The sequence below is a fragment of the Homo sapiens genome, chromosome 12, assembly GCF_000001405.40.
Source record: "Homo sapiens chromosome 12, GRCh38.p14 Primary Assembly".
Lineage (NCBI taxonomy): Eukaryota > Metazoa > Chordata > Mammalia > Primates > Hominidae > Homo > Homo sapiens.
This window is the reverse complement of record NC_000012.12, coordinates 1,145,863-1,173,327: the sequence shown is the minus strand read 5'-3', so window position 1 is coordinate 1,173,327 and position 27,465 is coordinate 1,145,863. Positions and strand designations below refer to the sequence as shown.

Below are 27,465 nucleotides of genomic sequence, written 5' to 3'. Positions count from 1 at the left end.
AAAAACATGCCAGGTACTGATGCAAGGACTTTATATGGAACAATGATTTAAGCATCACTACAGGCCTATGGGAAAATCACTAGGTAGTGTAGCTCCAGAATCTACTCTTAATTACCACCCTATAAATAATATGTTCTATGGTGAAAAACTGAAAAAGTAATCACATAAAGCATCTTTCCATAAATGATTTCTTATGATTATAGTGTTTATTAATATAGTATACCATTGCTACGATCATGTACTTAAAATGTACCCCCTACTGAAGCAAAGAATAAAACGAACCCCCAAAGAATGAGGTACCAAACCACTGCAAATGGAAAAGTACATCCTTCATGGATGAAACATACATCTAATCACCATACACTAAAGCTGCTGGGCAGAGCCAAAGATGCTTGACGTTAAGGATTTCAGGACCACGACGTTATTCAAATAATCTGTTTAGCCTAACTTTCAAGGTTAAAGGAAGCTAGTTTATTTACAGACAGACGGACCAAGGAGGACCTGACAATAAAACATTTAAAAGGTTTTTCTTCTGTTACATAAATTAGTTTTAAAATTGAAAATTAATAAAATAATTGTTACAGAAAAGGATACATTTTATAATCCCATGGGTTTTTTTTTTGTATAAACTCTCCCTGACATAGAAAGAAATCACTACCTATTAGCATATATTCAATTTCTGTACAAGCAAAATTTTGTAGTGATCAAAGGAACTGGCATTTATTCTACACATCTGTGCCGTCAATGATAATAGAAGGGGGGTGATACCCAACAGGTTTATATATACAGTTTACTATCATATATAATTATCATTATTGAGTAGTAAACTCAAGAAATACATATTTGTTTGTTCTGTTTTTGAGACAGGGTCTTGCTCTGTCACCAAGGCTGAAGTGTGACAGTGTAATCACTGCTCACTGCATCCTTGAACTCCTGAGCACGAGTAATCCTCCAGCCTCAGCCTCCGGAGTAGCTGAGACTACAAATGCATGCCACCACACCCAGCCGATTTTTAATTTTTGTAGAGATGAAGTACTGCAACATTGCCCAGGCTGGTCTCAAACTCCTGGCCTCAAGTGATCCTCCCACCTTGGCCTCTCAAAGCATTGGGATTACAGATGTGAGTCACTGTACCCAGCCCAAGGAAGAAACATTTTTAAATTAACTGTTTGGAGAAAGACGACGTTATTCCTTAAAATGACCTCTGTAATCATGGTACAGTTCTGTTTACTAGGGTGGAAAGAAACAGAAATAAAATGGTTATTTTATATAGAGGCTTTCTTGTCCTCATACAATTTTTATTTCAACAAGAAAGAAAAACTGATAAAATCAGAGGAAGTCTAATGCTGACTGCAAAGCTACAGAGTGAATTCATCAAATCTGCATACTAATTCCACATTGGCACAGATTTATTGACATCTTTTGTTTTGGCTTTTATCAGCCCTGCCCAGTTGTCAGGAGCTATCATGTTTCAGTCTGGGTGATTTATTTCCAGTCAAGTGGAACTGATTACTCTGCCTTTGAGGCCCAAATCACTGGGCAAACGCAGAAGAGACTTCCTCTAGGACACAGTTCTGAGGACAAGACAGCTCAAAACACTTCTTGCAGTCCCCTGGCTCACTTTAAATATCATTTAAGGGAAAGGAACATTTTTGAGGGTGCCTCCACAGCTCTTTTAAATAGCCATCAGCATCAAATTTATTGTATGAAATCAGTTATTCAAAAAGGCTCTGACCTTTACTTTCTTGGTTAATAATACCTTTCAGTATTGATGGCAGAAATACAGTCTGGATGAACTGGTCATAATCAGTTGGCAAAGAGGGATCTATAGTAATTAATAGTGAATTTTTCCTTTTCAGGTTCTAAGTCCCCTGATTTCTGGTCAACAGTTTGTCCACCATCAGACACTCGGACAAAATGTACAAACAAGGCAAAACTATAATTTACCAAAAAAAAAAAAAAAAAAAAAAAGAATGTTTTGCCCAGACTATTGCTGACATCTAAATTTTGCTTCTCCACTTGTTTCCAGCGATGAGAAGCTGCAAGACTGACAAAACCATAAGAAACTCTAAGCAATGTTTTAAATTCAATTTGGGTTTTTAAAAGTTTTCATATCAGTATTCTCAATTACTGCTTATGGTCCTCAATAAGCCCAGCAAAGATGTCGGGTAGCAAGTAACACTTCCTTGGTTGGGTTTCCCTGTCAGTTGTGTTGTTCTCTCATAGTACAGATCATGGAGTGAATTATTGCAATGAATGACTAGTTACGTGGCATTGAGCAAATTGCTTAATCTTTCTCATCACTTTAACTGTAAAACAAAAGACTAGTAACATCTCTTTCAATTATAAAATATAACAATATTCTTCTAAGGAAGATGAGAACATTTAAAAAGTAATAAACTTCACCAGAATACTACTATATTTTATCTTTAAAACTGTTCAAATTTAATTATACAGGAATGGTATAGCCCTTAAGAAAATATATTTTCAGAGTCCACTGCTCCAGGTAGATTTTATTAATTGCTGGTAGGAAAGAAAGTTCCTTGACAGATTTGCTCATGGTACAGATCATGGAACTAGGGGCCTCTCGCATTAGAACAACTGGATACAATGACACAAAAGCTGGTAAGACCAAAGGTCACTGCCAGTCAAGATCTGCCTGGTAGATAATTATGGAAAATAGCTCAAACCCTTCTTTTTCTATCTAGTCAGCATATATAAAAAATTGACAGACCTCCCTGTGCTAAAATTGCTCAAAAGACAAAGAGGGCACATAAATCCACAACGGCAATCCTTCTGTGGCAGTAGCAATGATGAGATTTCACTGAGGCCCTCAATTCACATCATCGATGTGAATGGCTTCCCTTGAAGTTGTTCAGTTACAGTGGCTGTCTAGGTAGCCTAGTCTCAGTTCACTACATTTTAGTGATGAGAGATCCAATATTTTTTTAAAAACTAAAGCAGGCACAAGAGGCTTAATTTTTTAAAAAAATCCATTGTATTGTAATAATTTAAAAATTGGGAATAATTAAACACTTAACAATAAAAGGCTAGCCAAATTAAATATGGTCTATCCACTGGATGGAAAGAATATTATACCATTACAATTCATATTCTTGAGAATTAAGGATACAAAAACTTGTTTATTATACACTATTACATGAATAAGACAGGTCACCAAAAAGTAAGTGTAATATTATACCAATTTCAAGTGAGGAGAAGTTTATTTTTACACAGATTTTTTTCTTTTTATAGCTTTTCCATACTTTTCATATATTTAGAATGGACATCTACAATTTTAATGATAATGCCAAAACCAAATATTTTCTAAATACAGTCCAAGAAATCTTAGCAAAAGGAGATTCTCTTATCATATTCACCTGCCAACATAGAAAACCTCTAGGGGTTTCTTTGGGGCATGTAAGCAACTGTATTATTTAACCCACACCTTTCACAAGTTCATAATGTGTAACCAAACAAACCAAGCTTTCAGAGATTTGGGGAGTCTTTCTTCAAAGAAAGACTGAGAGACACAAATAAATTCAAAGAAACCAAGACTCTGAAAAACTACTTGAATATAAGGTGTGAAGGAAATATGATGAGATGTTTCACTTATTTTTAATTTAAATTCAAGTTCATCTCATTGAATTTTTATTTTCGCCAGGTCTACTTTTATGGGTTGAAAGATGCTGACTTGCACTCATATCCTACCCTGTATTCTACCCAAGACTGGGTTTCCCGGAAAGCAGACCCTGAGACAGACATTATTATGCAAGAAGTTTATTAGACGGTGCTCTTTGGGATCGGAGTCAGTAGATAGGAGGAGAAAAATGAGGATTGTACAGAGGGAGCGATTCAGCTGCCACGAAGTCCCAAAGGATTCTGACAACCCCACGAGGAGCTCTGAAGCTGTTGTCCCAAGTAGGGGGAAGGAATTCAAACCATGGCACCTCATAAGGATCAATCACTGGATGTCCATGGGAGGGGGCTTGCCCTCGGGCAAGGTGGTGTCTTTAGCTAAGACAATCTCTAGGGAAAGTGGAGGGCTTTCTGTTGATAACACTTCCAGCGATCTGGGGAAATAAGTCCTTCAACAATCAGGAGAGACCTAGGTTGCATCGATCATCGCAGCATCCACCATACCCAACAGCTACACTCTTTCTAGTTAAATTATAATTAACATGAAATTGTAGTTGCCATGAATTTCTGTTGTATTTGAACCATACACATATTTTATGATTTTGTAAAACCTAGAAACCAGTGTATATCACCAACTTGGTTGTTCCATAGATGGTGAGTGTTTCTGATTATTTTTTTCTTCACCATGTCATGGTGAAAGGTGGGTGTTTTTAATCAGAAGTTCATGGATAAACTTTAAGGTGTATATTATATCTCAGTTCACACAAATGAACTATGCACACTTTTACCTGGAGAAAGCCCATAGCTTTCATCAGACTGTCAAAAGCATAAGAGAAGTTACAAATTATTAATCGGTGGCATTCTTTTCAAGAATCCAGAATGTTGTTTAAAATGACCCGTCACAGCCGGCACGATGGCTCACGCCTATAATCTCAGCACTTTGGGAGGCCGAGGCGGGCAGATCATCTGAGGTTAGGAGTTCAAGACCAGCCTGACCAACATGGCAAAACCCCATCTCTACTAAAAATACAAAAAAATTAGCCGGGTGTGGTGGTGGGCACCTGTAATCCCAGCTACTCGGGAGGCTGAGGCAGGAGAATTGCTTGAACCTGGGAGGCGATGGTTGCAGTGAGCTAAGATTGCGCCATTGCACTCCAGCCTAGGCGACAAAAGCAAGACTCCTCCTCCAAAAAAAAAAAAAAAAAAAAAGACCAGTCACTTCATTTAAAGTTGTTTGCTTAGCTGCTTTATAGAAGTGCCAAATTTGGCCAGTGCAGTGGCTCACACCTGTAATCCCAGCACTTCATAAGGCTGACGCGGGTAGATCACTTGATCCCAGGAGTTTGAGACTAGCCTAAGCAACATGGCGAAACCCATCTCTACTACAAAAACTATTAACAGTCAGCCAGGCATGGTGCTGTACAACTGTAGTCTTAGTTCCTTGCAGCACTGAGGTAGGAGGATCACCTGAGCCCAGGAAGTTGAGGCTGCAGTGAGCCACGATCGCACCACTACACGGCAGCCTGGGTGACAGAATGAGACCCTGTCTCAAAAAAAATAAAAATACCAAATTTGCTGTGTATAAGGCAGAGTTCAGCCTGAATGGGATGCAATGAAACAAATCCAAATGTCAGTTTCTTACCTATATGCACTGTATATAAGAAGCCCAAAGGCTGACGGGGCGCGGTGACTCACGCCTGCAATCCCAGCACTTGGGGAGGCCAAGGTGGGTGGATCACAAGGTCAGGAGATCGAGAGCATCCTGGCCAACATGCTGAAACCCCGTCTGCAGTAAAAATAAAAAATTAGCAGGGTGTGGTGGCGCGCGCCTGTAGTCCCGAGTACTAAGGAGGCTGAGGCAGGGGAACTGCTGGAACCCAGGAGGCGGAGGTTGCAGTGAGCTGAGATCACGCCACTGCACTCCAGCCTGGGCAACAGAGCGAGACTCCATCTCGGAAAAAAAAAAAAAAAGAAAAGAAAAAAGAAGCCCAAAGATCTTATAGAATTTTGCAAATTTTTCTCTGTAAAATTACATGATTTTTCTAATCTGAAAAACTCCTTTAGGAAAAAAAAATCATTAGGAGAAAAAATTGAGGAAGTCTGACAATTACAGGAAGATAAAACAGATAAAGAACAAAATAGATGTCTGATTCTTGAAGCTATTTTCTGGTTAGGATATACATACTGGTGTAGCAGGAAAAAGGAAGAGCATAAAAGGCTGCTTCATCAGAGTCTGATTTAATAACTTCTTCACGTGGTTAGTTACTTCAATTTCTCAACTAGAGTTGACAGATACCTGGGCATCTAACCAAACAGCCATTCCCACAGATGAGAATGCAATGTAAGAGAATTTATGTCAAGTTATAAGCAGTTTTTAAGCAGAAGAAAATATTGACTCTGCTTTAAAACTGCGACCAGGCACTTTTCCCTAAATCTTTTGTCTTTTTCTAGATATGTGTCTGTGTATTTACTACTCTGACAAGTTCCTGCTACAGGATCTCCTGAGAAACAACTAAGAACAATCTTTGTCAGAAGAGGGATCTGACCCTTCCTTATTGACTTGATAATTATCAATTTTCAAGTTTAAAATGTGTGCTCGGTCAAAACACTCAACTAGAACTTGCAAGACTCTGAGAACATTAATGTGGCGTATTAACAACAGATGAGAAACGACACAGATAAGCACAGATCCTCAAATTATTCACTAAGTTACTTAAAAGCCCAAAGAAATAATGTTTAATGAGTCAAAATTATTTCCATGATGTAAAAATATTACAATATAAGCCTTTGCATATGTCCATTTATATTACACCTTAGCACTTGAAAATTAAGCATTTATCCAAAGGCTATATTCTCTCAGGTCCACTTCTATTGTCTCCATAATAATGCTGATAGAACAAGTTTCTACATTCATCCAGCTGAAAAACACAAAGCTATTTAAAAACAAATCTATCTTTACCCAGGAATGCAAGGTTAGTTTCAAAATACAAAAATCAATCAATATAATGTACCACATTAACAGAATACAGGAGAAAAACCAAATGATCATCTCAATAGATACAGAAAAAGAATTTTATAAAATCCAACATCTTTTTATGATAAAAACATGCAACAAGCTAGGAATGGAAGGGAATTCTCAACCTGATAAACAGCATCTATGAAAAACCCACAGTCAACATCATACTTCAAGGTGAAGACTGAAAGCCTTCTGTATTTGTCCATTTTCATGCTGCTGATAAAGACATATCTGAGACTGGGAAGAAAAAGAGGTTTAATGGACTTACAGTTGCACATGAATAGGGAGGCCTCACAATCATGTTGGAAGGCAAGCCACCATGTGACTTGCTTGGAAGGCACAAGGCAAAGACAGAGAGAGCTTGTGCAGGGGAGCTTCTCTTTATAAAACCATCAGATCTCGTGAGACTTATTCACTATTGCAAGAACAGCACGAGAAAGACCCATCCCATGATGCAATTGCCTCCCACTGGGTCCCTCGCACAATACATGGGAACTGTGGTTATTACAATTCAAGATGAGATATGGGTGGGGACACAGCCAAACCACATCATTTCGACCCAGCCCCTCCCAAATCTCATGTCTTCACATTTCAAAACCAATATCCCCCAAAGCCTTAACTCATTTCAGCATTAGCTCAAAAGTTCACAGTCGAAGGTCTCATCCAGTATAGGCAAATCCATAGAGACAAAAAGGAGGTTACTGGTTGTCAGAGGATGAGGGGTTGTAATTGCCAGCAGGTGTGAGTTTCTTTCTGAAGTGATGAAAATTGGACAGTGATGATGGTTGCACAACATTGTAAATATTCTGAAAACCACTGAATCATATAGTTTAAAATGGTAAATTTTATGATCTGTGAATTCTAGCTCGATTGGAAAAAAAATTCCATCCAAATTAACCCCTCAGTGCTAGGTCAAAGCAATATCCATCAACGAATTGTGAAAACACTCTAAGTTCTGAGATGTATCTTGCTTTATCCCCCTCAAATAACACAAAACAGTTTAGCCATGTTTATTTCTTCTTAATGTTCTTAAAAATTCTCGCCAGGCGCGGTGGCTCATACCTGTAATCCCAGCACTTTGGGAGGCCGAGGTAATCCCAGCACTTTGGGAGGCCGAGGCGGGTGGATCATGAGGTCAGGAGATCAAGACCATCTTGGCTAACACGGTGAAACCCCGTCTCTACTAAAAATACAAAAAAATTCGCCGGGCATGGTGGCAGGCGCCTGTAGTCCCAGCTACTCGGGAGGCTGAGGCAGGAGAATGGCGTGAACCCGGGAGGCGGAACTTGCAGTGAGCCAAGATCGCGCCACTGCACTCCAGCCGGGGCAACAGAGCGAGACTCCATCTCAAAAAAAAAAAAAAATTCTCCTGCATTCTGTGTATCATCTATACACACCTCTATCTTCTAAAAGGCAGTCTTGTAGCAAGCACACTGGTTCTTGTTAGATCACTAATACACAAGAGTTTCCATCTAGACAGTCGTGCTTCTCACCCAAGGTGAATTGCCAAAATCAGTAAGTAGCATTAATTCACCTTCTGTTAGTCCTCTTCCTTTCCACATACCTTATTCTTCTGTACTTTCTTCCTATGAATTACATTTATACTCTGTGGTAATTCCTGAATTAGGTAAAACAACTCTTAAGTTGTTCAGAATTCTTTCTGGTTTGGAGTAGCTTGTTTGAAAGCAACAGATAACAGTAGAAACCCTAAAAATAACAGATTAAAACACTGAGCAGAACATGGAAATAGAAACATTCCACTTCCATTCTGGTTAATAAGGCTGCAATATCATAAGACAACAGAAAAGGGAGTAAGAATTTTATTGCCATACCGCACAAAAAAAACTCACTCTTTGATTTCCAACCCCTTATCCAATGTTTTATTCTACTGAAGTAGATATTTTCCAAAAATGGTCACAACAATGTCTTCCATCTCACATACTCTTCTGCCATGAACTCTACCCCTTCTCAGGAAGAAGGTGGAGCCCCATTCTTGACACCACCACCACCCTGCTTTAATAAGGACAGGTTCTGGCCAGGCACAGTGGCTCACGCCTGTAATCCCAGCACTTTGGGAGGCTGAGGTGGGCGGATCACGAGGTCAGGAGATCGAGACCATCCTGGCTAACACGGTGAAACCCTTCTCTACTAAAAATACAAAAAATTATCTGGGTGCGGTGGCGGGCGCCTGTAGTCAAGCTACTTGGGAGGCTGAGGCAGGAGAATGGTGTGAACCCGGGAGGCAGAGCTTGCAGTGAGCTGAGATAGCGCCACTGCACTCCAGGCTGGGCAACAGAGCGAGACTCCGTCTCAAAAATAAAATAACATAAAATAACATAAAATAAAATAACAAAATAAAATAACATAAAATAAAATAACAAAATAAAATAACATAAAATAACAACATAAAATAAAATAAAATAAAATAAAATAAAATAAAAAGGGCAGGTTCTGTGACTACTATGACCAACAGAATACAACAGAAGTGACCTGCCACTTCCAAGCCACTTTCAAGAATAACCCTTAACTGACCAAGCAGCTTCTGCTTCTAACATCTATAAATCTGGAAGCAGCTTCCACATTAGAAGTGTGACTACTTTCCCCATGCCACGAGGAACCCAAGGCACCTGCAGAAGCTGGGGCAAAAGACACCATGTAGGTCAGACATGGTGGCTGAGGCCCGTAATCCAGCACTTCAGGAGGCCATGACAGGCGGATCACTTGAAGCCAGGAGTTTGAGACTAGCCTGGCCAACATGGCAAAACCCCGTCTCTACTAAAAATAAAAAAATTAGCCAGGTGTGGTGCTGCATGCCTGTAATCCCAGCTACTAGGGAGGCTGAGGCATGAGAATTGCTTGAACCCAGGAGGTAGAGGTTGCAGTGAGCTGAGACTGTGCCACTGCACTCCAGCCTGGGTGACAGAGTGAGACTCTATCTCAAAAAATAAAAATAAAGAAAATAAAAATAAAAACCACCATGTAGACAGAGGCTAAGGAGCAAAGAGAATATATGCAAGTGAATAAGCCATCTTGGTAGGAGATCATCCAATCATAGACACTTCCAGGTGAAAATACACAAATCAAGAACAAACTACCTATGTGAGCCCTTCTGGAATTCCTGATTCACAAATAAATAAGCAAAATAAAATGGTTGTTTATGCCACTGCGTTTTAGGGCAGTTATCATGCAGCAATAGAGTTTGCTAGATCTATCACAATACATCCATTTTATTGTTGTTTTAATCACTTATATCTGAAGTTTATTATTTCTAGATTATCACAATGTAGGGATGAGGGGGTATTTTGTTATTTTGTAGTATTTTTTGGAGAGGAGTGTTCTGGAAGTGGAAGGAATACTGCTAAGGAACATATCATAATTAAAAGATTTACACTATAACAAGGTAAAAAAAATAACCTCCCTTTCTAAGAGAATAATTCTTCAATAATTATAAAATATCACTTGTATAGGATCAGCATCATTTAAAACCAGAAACCTGTTGACATACAGAAGTTAAATAATACTTTGCAAGTTAAACTCTCCACTTCCTTAAGGTTTACTTTTAAAAAGGGAGGGGAAAAAAAGTTGTATGAAGCAAATAAATTTACACAGAGTATATTTCCTTAGCTACCAGTAAAAATATAATCATCAAATCAAACTTCATTTACTGCGCATTGTTTTTGCAATAAAATGATATTTCAAGAGTTTAACTATACATATTCTCCATCAACAAAGAACTGCAAAGTGAGTTCTATTAGACAATTATAAGTAAAGGAAAGAAAACGAAAAAATTCTAATATCTAACTAAATTATGTTTCAGACGTAAAGTTCAATTAGGCCTGACACAGTCTTCTCTAAACTTAGCTTGCTTCACAGCTGGGTTAAGATTTAAAATAATAACATTCAGAAAATACAGGAATTGATCCTTATTAAAAATAAAAAGGCACAATTTTAAAAATAAAATATTTTCTCAGAATATATTAGTAAATATTGTCTTTAATTAAAAAAACAACAACCTTACTCTCCTGTCCGATTTTATGATATGGAAAAAGTGAACAAACTAACAACTGTCTTATCCAAGACTTCACAGAAAACAAACGGAACATACAAAGGACCTATTCTTTCTGACCTCCTACCCAAAACAAAATAGAAGAGACTTAAAGAACCAACTAGGACAAAAAAAAAAAACAAACCTAGGAAACTGGAGATGCAAGCAAAACGAAATAAACAGAAGTTACAGAAGCATGGAAGGGAATGTTGATAGCATCTGTGTAAGCAAATTAAACTCCAAGCTACATTATCATTTATAATCAATCAAGCAAGAAGCTGTACAATTTTAACACAGATTTTGAATGCAGCTCAGATTCAAATGCTCAATTACATTTTCCAGGTCAGTGATTTATTATAAAGATAAGAAATTTACTGTAACACAGAACTACTTTAAACCATAGGGGAGAACCCTGGGAAGGAGGAGCCCAATACTAATCCCATTGTACAGCACGCTTGGCCATCTGCTATTGTCTCGTTTCATTCTCTAAGCACTGGGTTACCCTAGTGCATACAAATATGTATACTACTTAGAAAGCAAGGAAGACTATGGGTGGACAGTGGTGGCCCAGACAGAACCAGAGACAGTCCACAGTATGTGACTAACTTATAACCCAGCGATTACCATAACTGCCATTGTGCTCAGAAGAAAAAATTTCTTTTAAGTATATCTAGATAAATGCCAAAATAACATAGTTTCTCAGTACTGCTCCCTAAATATTACAATATTTAAATATTACTTAAATATACAGTTATAATATTCATGAAAGAAATGATTAGAGAATGTAGACACCAAAGAACAAGAAAAGGATAAATGTAGTGTTACCATATTCTTCTTCCTTAGGGAACAAGTGTCTGAATCAAGAAGCAAAGTACAGAATTTAAGGCTTTTTTGTACAGAATTAAGGCATCTCTACAGGGATACCTAAAGTTCTACCTTAAAAGTTATACCACAATATCCCACTGAAGATAAATTTCTACAGTTTTTGATTGAAAATCTTCTGGGACAGAGGAGAAAAAAACTCAACTCAACTGCTTCCTAAATTAACAGGTCAATAAAGATGACTACATTCACTGTAATTTTTCTCATTAGGTAAAAATTGGGTATAATTTTGCCAGGGAGCAAGTGATTTCAGAGTTCGTAATGAGACAGAAACGGCATTCATATGCAGAGCTCTACCAGAAATTTTTAAGAGCGTATATTACGAATGTTTAAAAGCAGAAGTGAAATGCCAGGGCATGACACGGTGGAAAGGAACACCCCTCCTCGTTTTTATTGACACCACTCTCCAGGCTTAGATGCCCCCTTCTCCATCTACCTTGCAAACTTTCAAGACTCAGCTCCTAAGACTTCCTCAGACTCCTTTCATACAGGGCTAAATCTAAAATTCCTCGTTTTTTTGCCCCACCGTATACCATTCGTATCATAACCTTCTAACCTCCCATAATTCTGGGACTCCTGAGAGCAGAGACCACATCTATATGTCTTTGCCTAGCACATAGTGGAAAACACTATGCGGAATGAGGACGGTTTAGAAAGACTGGGAAGACTGGGAGACCCACAAGAACATAATTTTGACTGTACAACTACAAATGTACTCATTAAGGAAAAAGAAGAAGAAACAGCAAAGACTATTCCAGTGCATACATTGCTTAGAACGCTAGGAAAATATGTGTAGGTGGTGGTCCTGAGGTGGTTCACTATCAAGGTATCATCATTAGAAGGAATTTCAGGCTGGGCACAGTGGCTCATGCCTGTAATCTCAGCACTTTGGGAGGCCAAGGCAGGAGCATTGCTTAAGACCAGGAGTTTGGATACCAGCCTGGGCAACACAGTGAGACCTTGTCTCTACAAAAAGAAAAAGAAAATTTAAAGAAGAAGGAATTTTACAGGCTGATCTTAGATTTGATTTTTTTTTTGGCAGAGTCTTGTTCTTTCGCCCAGGCTGGAGTGCAGTGGTGTGATCTCAGCTAACTGCAACCTCCACCTCCTGGGTTCCAGAAATTCTACAGCCTCAGCCTCCCCAGTAGCTGGGATTACAGGTGGGCACCACCACGCCCAGCTAATTTTTTGTATTTTTAGTAGAGACAGGGTCAAGCTCCTGACCTCAGGTGATCCACCCTCCTCAGCCTCCCAAAACGCTGGGATTACAGGTGTAAGCCACCATGCTCACCTTGATCTTAGATTTTTAAGGGTCTTATTGAAGAACATACATGAAGGACAAATAGGAATATAGATTTATAAAAGTCTGGACCTGCAAACAAAGTGAGCTTACAAAAAAAAATTCTACAGGCAACAAAAAAAGCTTTTAGAATTGTTGTGATGGATATATCAATCTGATCAGCAGTTTCTTACAATGTATCACCTAAATCTTTTGGGGGCTTGTTCAACATTTTATTGTCTATACGAAAGTATACAGAGCACGTTTATAAATGGGTAGAAGGCATGAAATTGAAGGATTGACAATCCTTCAATCAAATCAAGGCTAAACAATTTGTTAGTCTAAACGATTTGTTAGTCAAATCAAGACTTGTCAGACTAAATTACTGTTAGACTAAACAATCAAATCAAGAGTCAAAAGATTCTCCATGATTCTAAATTCAGAGTAATTGGCTGAATGAAATTTAATGAGAATAAATTATGTTGATACCTCATATCCTGAGTATATACCACTTTACAGGTTCCAAGGTGCATGATTTCATACACATTACATCGTTAAACAAGAACATCCTTAAGTAGCTATTATATCCACTCTACAGATGAAGAAACTGAACGTTAGTGAGTTTCACTGAGTAGCCCACATTTCAGCTAAGGGCCGTGAACGGAACATGAATCCCATTTTAATCATCTCTCTTGCAATTAGATCCAAAATCCTAACTAAACAAGTCAAGATGGAAGAAAAATCAGTTTAGACACATAAAAGTCATCAGAAAAAATAACCAAAGCAAATAAGAACAATGAGGGGAATAAAAATACTTCACGTAGGATATTGAGATTTGGGGGCTGCCAAAGAGTAAGCTCCAAATATCTAAATATCATGCAGAAAAAAGATCTGACTTATTCACTATGGCCCCAAGTTAATCTCAATCAGCAAATACTCTAAGGCAGGGGTCCCCAACTCCTGGGCCATGGACCAGTGCCGGTCTGTGGCCTGTTAGGAACTGGGCCGCACAGCAGGAAGTAAGCGGTGAGACAAGTGAGCGTGACCACCTGAGCTCCACCTCCTGTCAGATCAGTGGCAGCATTAGATTCTCACAAGAGCGTGAATCCTACTGTCAAGTGTGCATTCGAGGGATCTAGGTGGCATGTTTCTTATGAGATCCTAATGCCTGATGATCTGACGTGGGACAGTTTCATCCCAAAACTGTCCCCTGCAGCATGGCCTGTGGAAAAATTGTATTCCACAAAATTGGTCCCTGGTGCCAAAGGCTCTAAGGAATCAATTCTGGTTAAACAAAATAGGGTCAAAACTGTCCAAAACTGATACATGCTACCTGAGAGGAAATCAATTCATTCATTATAGTTGAACATTTTTCTCATATTTATTTGCCATATGTACTTCCTCTTATTGAACATGTATAAATACTAAAATCAAGTATTAATCTCTGGGATAGAATAAAAAGGAGTACTATCAAGGAGAGATATGCCAATGAACTTCAACAATATTTGAAATGTTTACTTAACTTGAGTGATTATACTCAGTATATTATTCTCTATACATTTTTGTATCTCTGAAATGGTTTTTAAAATATAAAAAGATAACATAAACACATGGTCAACAAACAAGGAATTGGGATAGCACCCATAACCCTTCATACAAAACAATTCAAAGAAGTTCCTGGGCAACCAAAAATTAAAGTTTAAAACTTGGGAACAGCCAGGCGCGGTGGCTCACACCTGTAATCCCAGGACATTGGGAGGCCAAGGCAGGCAAATCACCTGAGGACGGGAGTTCGAGACCAGCCTGACCAACATGGAGAAACCCCATCTCTACTAAAACTATAAAAAAAAAAAAAAAAAGAAAAGAAAAATTAGCTGGGCATGGTGGCGCATGCCTGTAATCCCAGCTACCTGGGAGGCTGAGGCAGGAGAATCGCTTGAACCCAGGAGGCGAGGTTGCGGTGAGCCGAGATCATGCCACTGCACTCCAGCCTGGGCAACAAGAGCAAAACTCCTTCTCAAAAAAAAAATAAATAAAACAAAAAAACTGGGAACAGTTAAGCTGTTTTTAACGACTAGTTATGAGCATTAAATATACTGAAATTCAGAAATAAAAGCTAAATATGAATCATAATTACAGTAAGCAATGTTTCTCCTTTACAAAAAACAACACAATATAAAACTGAAAAGTACTATGAACTCAGCAAAATATAACAAAAGTTTACCAACTAAAATCAAGAAGGGGGATTGGTAATATAAATAAACTATTTTTAATAAAAAGTAGTCAATAAACATGGCTTCATTTTTAAACGTGTTAAATCAAGACACAGAAAGTTTTAAAATATTGTTTAAAGTAACAGATAATCACAGGAGAAACTAGGCACAAACTATAAACTCTGCCCACTCTACTGGACATATAGCAAAATTAGATAAAGTGACGGATTACACTTTAATTTTGCTATATGTCCACTTATAATGAATGAATTGATTTCCTCCCAGGTAGTGTGTTATCAGTTTTGGACAGTTTGACTCTCTTTAGAATTGACTCCTTAGAGTATCTGCTGATTGAGTTAATGTGGGGCCATATTGAACAAGTCTAATCTTTCTTCTGCATGATGGTTTTTTAGATATTTGGATCTTCACTTTATTAAAGCCAATGGTCAATTTTCATTTTTTGTAACTCATCAGCAGTATTTGAAAAATCTGATCATCCTCTCCTCTTTGAAACCCTTTCTTCACTTGACTTCTGAGATACCACATTCAATAAAAAAAGTAACAAGTTCATTTTTTGGAAGAGGAAAATTTGACAAAATCATACTAAAGTTCATCTGAAAAAGTAAATGAGTGAGAAGAGTGAGAAATTCCTGCAAAAATAAAATTAATATAGCAAAACAATCTACTAATCTGATAATTTATTTGTGGCATTTCAAATCAGAAGAGAAGGGGTGGATTATTTAACAAATACTATAATGACAACTGGCCAGCCACATGTAAAAACATAAAACTGAATCATTACGGCAATATATAAATTTTATAAACCAATTTTTAGATGTATAAAAAGAAACTTTAAAAGTACCAGAGAAAAGCATGTATGAATTATTTAATAACCTTGGCAAGGGCAGACTGCTTGAGCCCGGCAGTTCAAGGCCAGCCTGGGCCACATGGCAAAACCCTGTCTCTACAGAAAGCTAAAAAATTAGCTGGACATGGTGGTGTGTGCGGCTGTAGCCCAGCTACTCGAGAGTCTGAGGTGGAAGGTTGGCTTGGAGCCTGGGAGGTAGAGGTTGCAGTGGGCTGAGACTGAGACACTGCACTCCAGCCTGGGTGACAGAGTGAGTGAGAGCCTTTCTCAAAAAAATATAAAAATGAAAATGACTTTGGCATGTATAAGGACTTTCAAAGTGTGACCTAAAACTGAGAGGACATAAAGAAAAGTACTATTAAATTTGGTGACATAAACCCCCAAATAAATACATAAATGAAGTTAAAAACAAAAAACAAAAAACAGGAAAATGTATTTGTAAAACATAAAAGGAAATAGACCAATGTATTTACTAGAGGAAAAACTTCCTATAAATCAACAAGAAAAAATACATCATCAAACAGAAAAATATGGAAAAGAAATTAACATATACCTCCCAATTAAAACAAAACAAAAACCTATGAAAAAATGCTCAATGAGAACTCAACTTTAAATAAATACTAAGCAAGAAAAGAGACACTTCAGAATTGCCTACCAAGTCAGTGGAAATTTAAAAAGGTTTGATAACAAATGTTTAATGAAACTGTGCAAAAAAACATTCTCCGTGTAAATCAGTGGAAAACTCTTGGTGGATAATTAAACAGCTATCGACATTTTACACGCATACAATATCAACTCATGAATGAGACGGTTATGTCATTATGCGTTATACTACTATAATCAACAAGAGGTCAGGCGTGGTGGCTCACAAATGTAATCCCTGCACTTTGGGAGGCTGAGGTGAACAGATCATGAGGTCAGGAGTTCGAGACCAGGCTGGCCAACATGGTAAAATCCTCTCTACTAATAATACAAAAATTAGCCAGGTGTGGTGGTGCGCGCCTGTAATCCCAGCTACTCAGGGGGCTGAGGCAGGAGAGAACTGTTTGAACCTGGGAGGCAGAGGCCGTAGTGAGCTAAGATTGCACCACTGCACTCCAGCCTGGGCGACAGAGTGAGACTCTGTCTCAAAAAAATAAAATAAATAAAATAAAATAAGAAAAACCCCTATCTTCATCTACCTGTAAATCTTAGGTTAAATTTAGTTAAATTATGGTAGAAGTATGATTCAGAAAACCATGTAGATATTTTTTAAGATGAGATAAAGCTGTATATAAGATGATATTAAAATGTTTATTTTTAAATTAATAAAAAGTATGATTCCAGTTGTTTTTTAAAAGGTATATAACACATAAATGCTTGATATGCATAGAAACTTTATGAAACGGCACACAAAGAACTGTTAACAACAGTTAATAACCCTAAAGAACTGCACTGAGAGGAGCAAAGGATGGGAGAAGGAACTTTAATTTCACTCCATATGTTTTGGTAATTTTTATTTTTATTTATTTATTTTTTTTTTACCTTGAACACATATTACTCTCATACTGTTAATACAAGTCATTTTTTAAATCCTACATTGTCATTTCTCAGGGCTTTTAAAAAAATACTTATCAGCAGGGCGCGGTGGCTCACGCCTGTAATCCCAGCACTTTGGGAGGCTGAGGCAGGCAGATCACGAGGTCAGGAAATCGAGACCACCTAACATGGTGAAACCCCGTCTCTACTAAAAATACAAAAAATTAGCCGGGCGTGGTGGCACGTGCCTGTGGTCCCAGCTACTCAGGAAGCTGAGGCAGGAGAATGGTGTGAACCCAGGGAGGTGGAGCTTGCAGTGAGCCGAGATGGCGCCACTGCAATCCAGCCTGGGCGACAGAGCGAGACTCCGTCTCAAAAAAAAAAAAGGAAAGTTTAATTTTCTTTATCCATTCATTGGTTGATGGGCACTTAGGTTGATTCCATATCATAGATGTCTTTTTTTTCAGAATGACTTCTTTTCCTTTGGGTAGACTCCTAGTAGTGGGACTGCTGGATGAAATGATAAATCTTTTTTTTTTTTTTTTTTTTTTTTGAGATGAAGTCTCGCCCTGTGAGTGCAGTGGCACGATCCAGGCTCACTGCAACCTCTGCCTCCCAGGTCCAAGCAATTCTCGTGTCTCAGCCTCCCAAGTAGCTGAGACTACAGGCACGTACCAATATGCCCATCAGATTTTTTTATTTTTAGTAGATATGGGGTTTCGCCACGTTGGCCATGTTGCCAGGTTTGTCTTGAACTCCTGACCACAGGTGATCCATCTGCCTCGGCCTCCCTAAGTGCTGGGACTACAGGTGTGAGCCACTACGCCCAGCCTGAAATGATAAATGTACTTTTAGTTCTTTGAAAAATATCCATACAGTTTTCCATAAAGGTTGTACTAATTTACGTTTGCTCCAACAGTGTGTAAGAGTTCTCTTTTCACCACATCCATGATACCAGCTATTATTTTTTAACTTTTTAATAATAGCCCTTCTGGATGGGGTAGGGTGGTATCTCACTGTCATTTTAATTTGCATTTCCCTGATGATTAGTGATGCTGAGCATTTTTTCATACATTTTTGGGCATTTGTATATCTTCTTTTGAGAAATGTCTATTCATGCTATTTGCCCATTTTTTATGGGATTATTTTTTTTTCTTGTTGATTTAAGTTCCTTGTAGACTGTGGATATTAATATTTTGTTGAATATGATGCAAATATTTTCTCCCATTCTGTAGGTGGTCTATTTACTCTTTTGATTATTTATTTTGCTGTACAGAAGCTTTTTAGTTTAATTAAGTCCATTAAGTCCCATTTATTCATTTTTATTTTGTTGTGCTTTTGAGATCCTTGTCATAAATCCTTCGCCTGAGCCAATGTTCAGAGGAGTTTTCCCTGTGTTATCTTCCAGAATTTTTATGGTTTCGGGTCTTAGATTAAGTCTTTAATCCACCTAGGTTAATTTTTGTATATGGCAAGAGACAGAAAGTGTGTGTGTGTGTGTGTGTGTGTGTGTATAAACACACATGGGTATGTGTGTATATATATATACACACACACATATATATGCACGTGTGTGTGTATATATACATGTATATGTGTATATATACACATATACATATACATATACATATACATATACATATACATATACATACACACACACACCATGGAATACTACTCGGCCATGAAAAAAAGAATGAAATCATGTCTTTTGCAGCAACCTGGATGGAACTGGAGGCCATCATCCTAAGTGAAGTAACTCAGGAATGGAAAACCAAATACTGCATGTTCTCACTCATAAGAGGGAGGCAGTGCTGAGTACCCAAAGGCATACAGAGTGGTATAACGGACACTAGAGACTCAGAGCAGGGGGAGGCAGGCAGGGGAGAAATGAAAAATTACCTATTGAATACAATGTACATTATTCAGGTACACTTGGGAACTTCCCAAACTACTCCAAACGAATAAAGTTATTAATTAACAAAAAAAGAAATGGAGTATCCCAAAAGTGCAGGAAGGGAAAGGGCCAGGGGAAGGCGCAGGGCTGGGGCCTGTGATTATGTAGGCCAAAATCCGACCATGTGAAGAAAGGAGGGCCCAGGAGGGCAAGCCCAGCATTCCACACGCACGGCCAGGGAGGGGCTTCGAACACCTGCCCCGCTTGGCAAACTCACAGTGATCCGTTTGTTTTCCCTTCTCCGAGTTCATGCATTCTTCAAGCTTTGGTAACTGGAATGTTTGTCTTTTCAGGCTCAAAAACAGTCAGTAGAAAAGGAACCAAAATTAAGTACCAATCATATGTCAGGATTCACCTAGGAAAACTGTGAGCTGTTGACTGGACTGCTTCTCTGAATAAGCTGGTATTCCCTTTTGTCTCTAATTTTAAAAGCTCCCAGGCAGCAACCTGAAATCCACAATCTCTTTGGAATAGGATGGGAAATATTCTGAAGGCACAGTTAAACACGTATAAGTCTCAAGCCTTAAAAAGAGTCAAAATACCAAAGGCAAGAAATTGTGGAGCTTTGCCCACAGTGCTGTGATAACCTGCAATTGTCTAACATATTCAGCATGTGCCTATCAGAGTTCTAGAACAGAGAGACATCTTGGGATTAATCTGATTTGGGAAAAGCCTTTAACTGTAGCTAGGAGTCACCTCAGTGTTCTTCATGTAATCAAGCCTTGGAGATTTTCTGTTGTGGTTTGCTCTTCTGATGTACGGTTCCCAGAAGTAGGAAATGGAAAGATGACCTTTTACAGACAACTGTGAAAAGAGAAGCTATGACTGTGGAAGAGAAAGCTCCCTAGAATGTCCTCACAAAACCATCCAATGGAAGACATCCTCCAGGAGGCCTCCAACGGATCCCTCGATACTACAAAAATACCGGAGGCTTAGGAGCTGGGAACTTCCAGGGGCTAGAGATCTCTTGCTGTGGTCCTTTCCATCATCGCACTGACAACAGCTCTCTCCAACACCTTTCTGCTTACCACCATCTTCCTCACCAGGAAGCTATATACACCAGCCAACTATCTCACTGGCTCCTTGTTCATATCCATGAGCATCACATAGACCATCACACACACCTGGAAATTTGGCCAACTCCTGTGCAACATCTGGCTGTCTTCTAGCATCACGTGCTACATGGCCTCCAACCGATATTTCTGTCTGTTGCTCTGACCAGGTACTGGGCCATCACCAATGCCCTGTAGTATAGTAAATGGGCCATCTCAAATTGTATCTCTATCCCAGTGCTCTTCTCCTAGACCTCTTGCACCACCTACTCCACATGTAAGACCTTCTACATTTTGGTTGTGTTGTTCATCATCTTCACACATTGCCCAACAAGAACATCCAGAAGCCATCATCACAGCACCACTGCCCAGGTCATCACAGCTCACTCTTCTTCCTCAACCCCAGCCTCCATGAGAGGCAAAGGCGCTTAACTGGCTCTCCTCTGCTTGTTAATCACATGAAAATCAAGCATGCTTATAGTGTCCTAGTACAACAGGAAATTTACTTTCAAACAAGGAAAGCCACAGAAACCCTGGGGATCATTTTAGGGGCTTTTATCATCTGCTGGCTGCCTCTCTTTATTGTTTCTCTGCCAGCCAAGATACCACCATATTAAGACATCTTCATCTTGCTGAGCTTTTTTTTTTTTTTCTTTTTGATACCAAGTCTCACTCTTGTCTCCCAGGCTAGAATGCAATGGTACAATCTCAGCTCACTGCAACCTCCGCCTCCCAGGTTCAAGCAATTCTCCTGCCTCAGCCTCCCGAGTAGCTGGGATTACAGGCACCTGCCACTACTCCCAGCTAATTTTTTGTATTTTCAGTAGAGACAGGGTTTCACCATGTTGGCCACGCTGGTCTCGAACTCCTGACCTCACGTGATCCACCTGCCTCGGTCTCCCAAAGTGCTGGGATTACAGGCGTGGGCCACCGCGCCCAGCCTTGCTGAGCTATTTTTAAACTCCATCATCAATCCAGTGATGTACATTCTGTCTAATGAACAGTTTCACCAAGCATTTCAGAAAGTTGTCTTTTTTGCGGAAAGCCTCCTAGTCTTACTTGGTGGCTACTTGGTTATCTTTACCTGTTGTCTTCTGATCCACCAAGTTGGGCAGTTGTGTGAAATGAAACAGGACTGAAATTTGTCAACAGCGTTAGGTAGAAACATGGTTCACAGGGTTACCTGTTGATATAATTCACATAGAAAAGTGCCTGGCACTGAGAAAGAACCCTGGCTCAAAGGATGGTTTCCTGGTGTACCTAAGATTTGTATAAACCTCCAAGGAAAGCAGAGGAGAATAATGACCTGAATTGAAACAGAATTTAAGAGTTCAAATGGAGGGGTCCATTCCACATAACACTCTCCACTGGAATATAACAGGGATTTCTTGCATTGAGTCTTTCTTAGATCAAATCTGTCCTGGTTGTTCATGAGATATTCAATATTGGGGTGCACATGGTCTATGGTGACTTGGAGAGAGATCTGGAAGCCAGGGGCAAAGAAGACAAATAGAATTAGGTTGACTACTTTGTAGCCTTCCCTCTTCCCCAATAAATTCATACAACCTTAATGTTCCGAAGGTAAAATCCCTGATCTCCCCCACTGAAGTATTTATAGGTTTTGGGTCCACCAAGCTTTGAAAAGAATGCCATTCCAAATTTTTTATTTTTGAGCTCTCTCAAAATCACTGTTACTTTATTATTCTTAACCCTAATACACTGCCAAATTTGAATTGATTTTTTAAATGCACTTTTTGTTTAGAATAGTTTTGGATTTGCAGAGAGGTGAGGATGGTACAGAGAAGGTGATACAGAGAGTTCCTGGGAACCCAGAGGCCAGATTTCACACTGTTAACATCTTACATTAGTATGACACATTTGTCATAATTAATCAACACGGATACATTATTCTTAACAAGAGTCCGTGCTTTATTCGCATTTCCTTAGTTTCTGTCTGCTGCCATTTTTCTGTTCCAAGATATTGCCTGGGATATGTCATTACGTTTGGATGGCATGTCTCCTTGGCTCTTCTTGGCTGTGACAGTTTCTTGGACTTTCCTAGTTTTTGGAGGCTTGGCAGTTTTGAATACTACTAGTCAGTTGTTTGGTGGAATGTTTCTTAACTAGGATTTGTCTACTGTTTTGTTCATAATTGGACTGGGGTTGTGCATTTTGGGGAAGAGAACCACAGAGCTGAAGTATCATTGATCATATCAAGTACACATACTGTCAAAATGACTTATCATTGTTAACAATGACCCAATTATTTTTCATATTCCATTCTCATTAGGAATCTTAAGATGTTGACTCATCAAATAAAAAGCCTGAAATATCATGATTCAAAAATAAGCAATATAAATAATAAATAAAAATGGTAATACCTGCTCAAAACACATTAGACTAGCTATTTTTATTTGATCAATTTATATGTAATGGTTTGAAGATAAAAGAGTTGTAAATAACTTTGAATTCATCCTTTCCCTATGAATATGTTCTGCTTCTGGAAAATATTTTAGTTCTACTGTTCTATTTTTACTGCCATGGCTATCAGGAGAAGCCTCTGACTGCGGGAGAGAGGGTAGGGGGTTGTTGCTACCAGCTAATTCAGGGTTCAGTAGTAAACTATGAGATGGATAGTTTCCACATATAAGTATGCCTAAACTGCATCTGAGTTCCTTCAGTAGGAAAATGTCCTGTGCTGTCTGAGGGAACTGCTTCAAAGACTCTGTTTAAAGACAACACACAGAGTTATGAACATCTTATCCCATGCCAGAATGCTTTGCAATGTAAGCTACAGGAGAGTGCACTGTAAATCCCCCTAAGATATTCAAAACAACCTTCCCCTAAAGCAAAATCTTGATTCGATTCTTCTCAGTCTTGGTGATGGCCAAGGGACTATGGTCCCAGAGATTAGTTCAAGTAATATTAAGCAAGTGAAATTTTTCTATGTTGTATCCACCACCACCCATGTCATTCCTAATACCTCACAAAGCGGGCAAATGAATGAAAACTAAAGAATAATAATATTCAATCTGAAGTCTTGTTCAAGTAATACACTTTATCTCCATGACTTTTTGCCAGTCAATATCTATGTATTTGTCTCTATACATCATATTGGCTGAGTTTCAGAAATAAATGATAACAAAAAATGAAAAAAAGATGTCTGGCATGGTGGCTCATGCCTGTAATCGTAGCACTTTGGGAGGCCGAGGTGGGCAGATCACTTCAGTCCAGGAGTTCGAGACCAGCCTGGCCAACATGGTGAAACCCCATCTCTACAAAAAATACAAAAAATTAGCTGGGCATGGTGGCATGTGTCTGTAGTCCCAGCTACTCAAGAAGTGAGGTAGGAGGACTGCTTGAGCTCCAGACACAAGGGTTGCAGTGAGCCATAATTGCACCACTGCATTCCAGCCTGGGCAACACAGTGAGACCCTGTCTCAAAAACAAATCAACCAATATATATGTATATATGATACTGTATTAAAACTAAGTTTCAGCTGTAAGCACTAATCTTCTCTCAATGGTGCTACACAAAATTTCAAAAGTTTAAACAGTAAAACTATAGCTAGAATAATAAATGCTGTTTTGACCTTTGTTCTCTGGATGGAAATGTGGAAAAAGTTGTTACTCCTGCCTAAAAATACATAAAACTGCACGTTTTACCAAGAAAAAAAGATTACTTTAAAGTTATTTTTATATAATTTTTAAAAAATACATAGATCCCTTGAGAACTTTAAACTTCTCTAAACCTACGGTATTCATTTTATTTTTTATGGATACTAAATTTAAAGCTATCTCTATTTTATCAGCCAACAATGGTGCTGGAAATACATCACAAATGTTGATTCTGACCACCTTAATACAGTAACGTCAACAAAAAAAGTACACAGAATGGGAAGGATCTAAGCACTGAAAATAACAGGCATAAAGGTAATTGTCTACAAAGCAGTACTAGGCCAAACTTGGTGGCTCATGCCTGTGATCCCTGCACTTTGGGAGGCCGAGGCGGGAGGATCATCTGAGGTCAGAAGTTTGAGACCAGCCTGACCAACATGGCGAAATCCCGTCTCTACTAAAAATACAAAAATTAGCTGGGCGAGGTGGCAGGTGCCTGTAATCCCAGCTGCTCAGGAGGCTGAGGCAGGAGAATCACTTGAACCCGGGAGGCGGAGGTTGCAGGGAGCCAATATCACGCCACTGCACTCCGGCCTGGGTAACAGAGTGAGACTCAGTCTCAAAAAATAATTAATTAAATAAAATAAAAAAGAAGCACTAATAACATAAACCAATTTTGAAAACAGTTGTACTATCTGGTAAGTTTTAAGACACATAAAAGTTTGTAACATGATGAATTACTGGGGCAGTGTGGTGTACTAAGACAGCACAATTACTGATCCTCTGCTGCCTTCTGTGAAGGATGAAGAGGAAGGACAAAGAAAAAATATACAAGATTTGCATGATATGTGTGTGTGTGTGTCTGTCTCTCTCCTGTTGCCATGTAAGACGTGCCTTGCTTCCCCTTCACCTTCTGCCATGATTATAAGATTCCCAAAGCCTCCCTAGCGACTCAGATATGGAAATGTGAGTCAATTAAACCTCTTTTCTTCATAAATTACTTAGTCTCAGGTAGTATCTTTATAGCAGTGTGAAAATGGACTAATACAAAAACTTTTCTAAAAATTTTTACCTAGTTAAAAATAAGCAATGCGTTACTTCCAAACAACCTTTGAATTCTAACCAGTATATCTTTTCTTCCAGTAACATTAATCATCTAAGGCTTTTTTAGTAGCTTGCTGTCATGTTCTCATGATCTGAAAGGCAAAGTTTAATGACTGAAGACCCACGCAATCTTTCAACACTTTGGTTTTAAATGAAGTAATCCTTATAGAATGAGAGCAAAGAAAATAGGAGCTGAAAAACAAATGTTATAAAAGTAAAATATATGCCCCTAACACTTATGACCTAATGAAAGTGATAATCCATCATGTCACCAACATTTTGGGTATAATCAGCCTAGAGCAACAAACAGGCTGCTGGCACAGTGGTGAATCGAGTCTTTGTGCATCCAGATGCCTTCAGAAACTTGCACTGTATGAAATCAAATAATTAAATCACTCCCCTCCTCACAAACTCCACAACTGCAATAACCAGCGAAATTTTAAAAATTCGTATTTTACTAATAATATCCTACACTTAAAGAAAAGTTTAATAGGAAATGGAATCAAAAGGCTTACGCATTATTAATCATAGTAAAAATTACAAGTAACTTCTAATCCACTAAAAGTTGTCTGGTCATATTTCTTACCAACATGTTATTGTGCCTAATAAGAAGTAAATGTATGAGAAGCACAATGGGAGAAAAATATACAATGATCAAGTGCATGAGAAGTGAAAAATGTTTTGAAACTATTAAGTCTATTACTTGAAAATATTACTATTGAAAGATCAAAACTAATACCAATAAAATAAAATAAAAATCAGATGATCATCTCAATAGACCCCAAAAAAGCAGTTAACAAAATCCAGCATCCCTTTATGATTAAAACCCTCAGCAAAATTGGCATACAAGGGACATACCTTAAGCCATCTATGACAAAGCCACAGCCAACATTATGCTGAACGGGGGAAAGTTGAAAGCATTTCCCCTGAGAACTGGAACAAGATAAGGATGCCCACTTTCACCACTTCTATTCAACAGACCCAGCCATCCCATTACTGGGTATATACCCAAAGCATTATAAATCATGCTGCTGTAAAGACACATGCACACGTATGTTTATTGCGGCACTATTCACAATAGCAAAGACTTGGAATCAACCCAAATGTCCAACAACGATAGACTGGATTAAGAAAATGTGGCACATATACACCATGGAATACTATGCAGCCATAAAAAATGATGAGTTTGTGTCCTTTGTAAGGACATGGATGAAACTGGAAACCATCATTGTCAGCAAACTATCACAAGGACAAAAAACCAAACACTGCATGTTCTCACTCATAGGTGGGAATTCAACAATGAGAACATATGGACACAGGAAGGGGAACATCACACTCCGGGGACTGTTGTGGGGTGGGGGTTGGGGGAGGGATAGCATTAGGAGATATACCTAATGCTAAATGACGAGTTAATGGGTGCAGCACACCAACATGGCACATGCATACGTATGTAACAAACCTGCACATTGTGCACATGTACCCTAGAACTTACAGTATAATAATAAAATTTAAAAAAAAAAAAAACAGTACTGGAAGTCCTTGTCAGAGCAATCAAACAGGAGAAAGAAATCACGGACATCCAAATCAGTAAAGAGGAAGTCAAACTATCATTGTTTGCTGATGATAAGGTCATATAACTACAAAGCCCTAAAGACTCATCCAAAAGCTCCTAGATCTGATAAATGAATTCAGTAAAGTTTCAGGATACAAAATTAATGTACACAAATCAGCAGCACTACTACACATCAATAGTTACCAAGCTGAGAATCAAATCAAGAACTCAACCCCTTTTACAATAACTGCAAAAAAAAAAAAAAAAAAAAAAAAACCAGTAAAATACCTAAACAAGGAAATGAAAGACCTCTACAAGGAAAACTACAAAACTGCTGAAAGAAATCACAGATGACACAAACAAATGGAAACACATCCCATGCTCATGGATGGGTAGAATCAATATTGTGAAAATTACCACACTGCCAAAAGCAATCTACACACTCAATGAAATTGCCATCAAAATACCATCATCATTCTTCACAGAACTAGAAAAAACAATCCTAAAATTCATATGGAACCAAAAAAGAGCCTGCATAGCCAAGGCAAGACTAAGCAATAAGAACAAATGTGGAGGCATCACATTACTCAACTTCAAACTATACAAGGCTATAGTCGCCAAAACCAATCATGGTACTGGTATAAAAACAGGCACACAGACCAATGGAACAGAATAGAGAACCCAGAAATGAAGCCAGACACTTACTGCCAACTGATCTTTGA

At 38.6% G+C, this 27,465-nt stretch overlaps 1 protein-coding gene and 1 pseudogene across 54 annotated transcripts in view; one reads left to right on the top strand and one right to left on the bottom strand.

Moving 5' to 3' along the window:
- Positions 1-27,465, bottom strand: part of ERC1 (ELKS/RAB6-interacting/CAST family member 1) — a 505,975-nt gene that overhangs the window by 322,606 nt on the left and 155,904 nt on the right. Inside the window, exon 1 of one of the 54 annotated variants that reach the window (XM_017019074.2) lies at positions 5,282-5,388. The exons of the other annotated variants lie outside the window; for them this stretch is intronic. The gene's annotated coding sequence lies outside the window, so the exon portion shown is untranslated. Of the gene's footprint in view, positions 1-5,281; positions 5,389-27,465 lie in introns of those variants that run through there. 54 annotated transcript variants of the gene reach the window in all.
- On the top strand, positions 20,291-21,071 carry HTR1DP1 (5-hydroxytryptamine receptor 1D pseudogene 1; annotated as a pseudogene).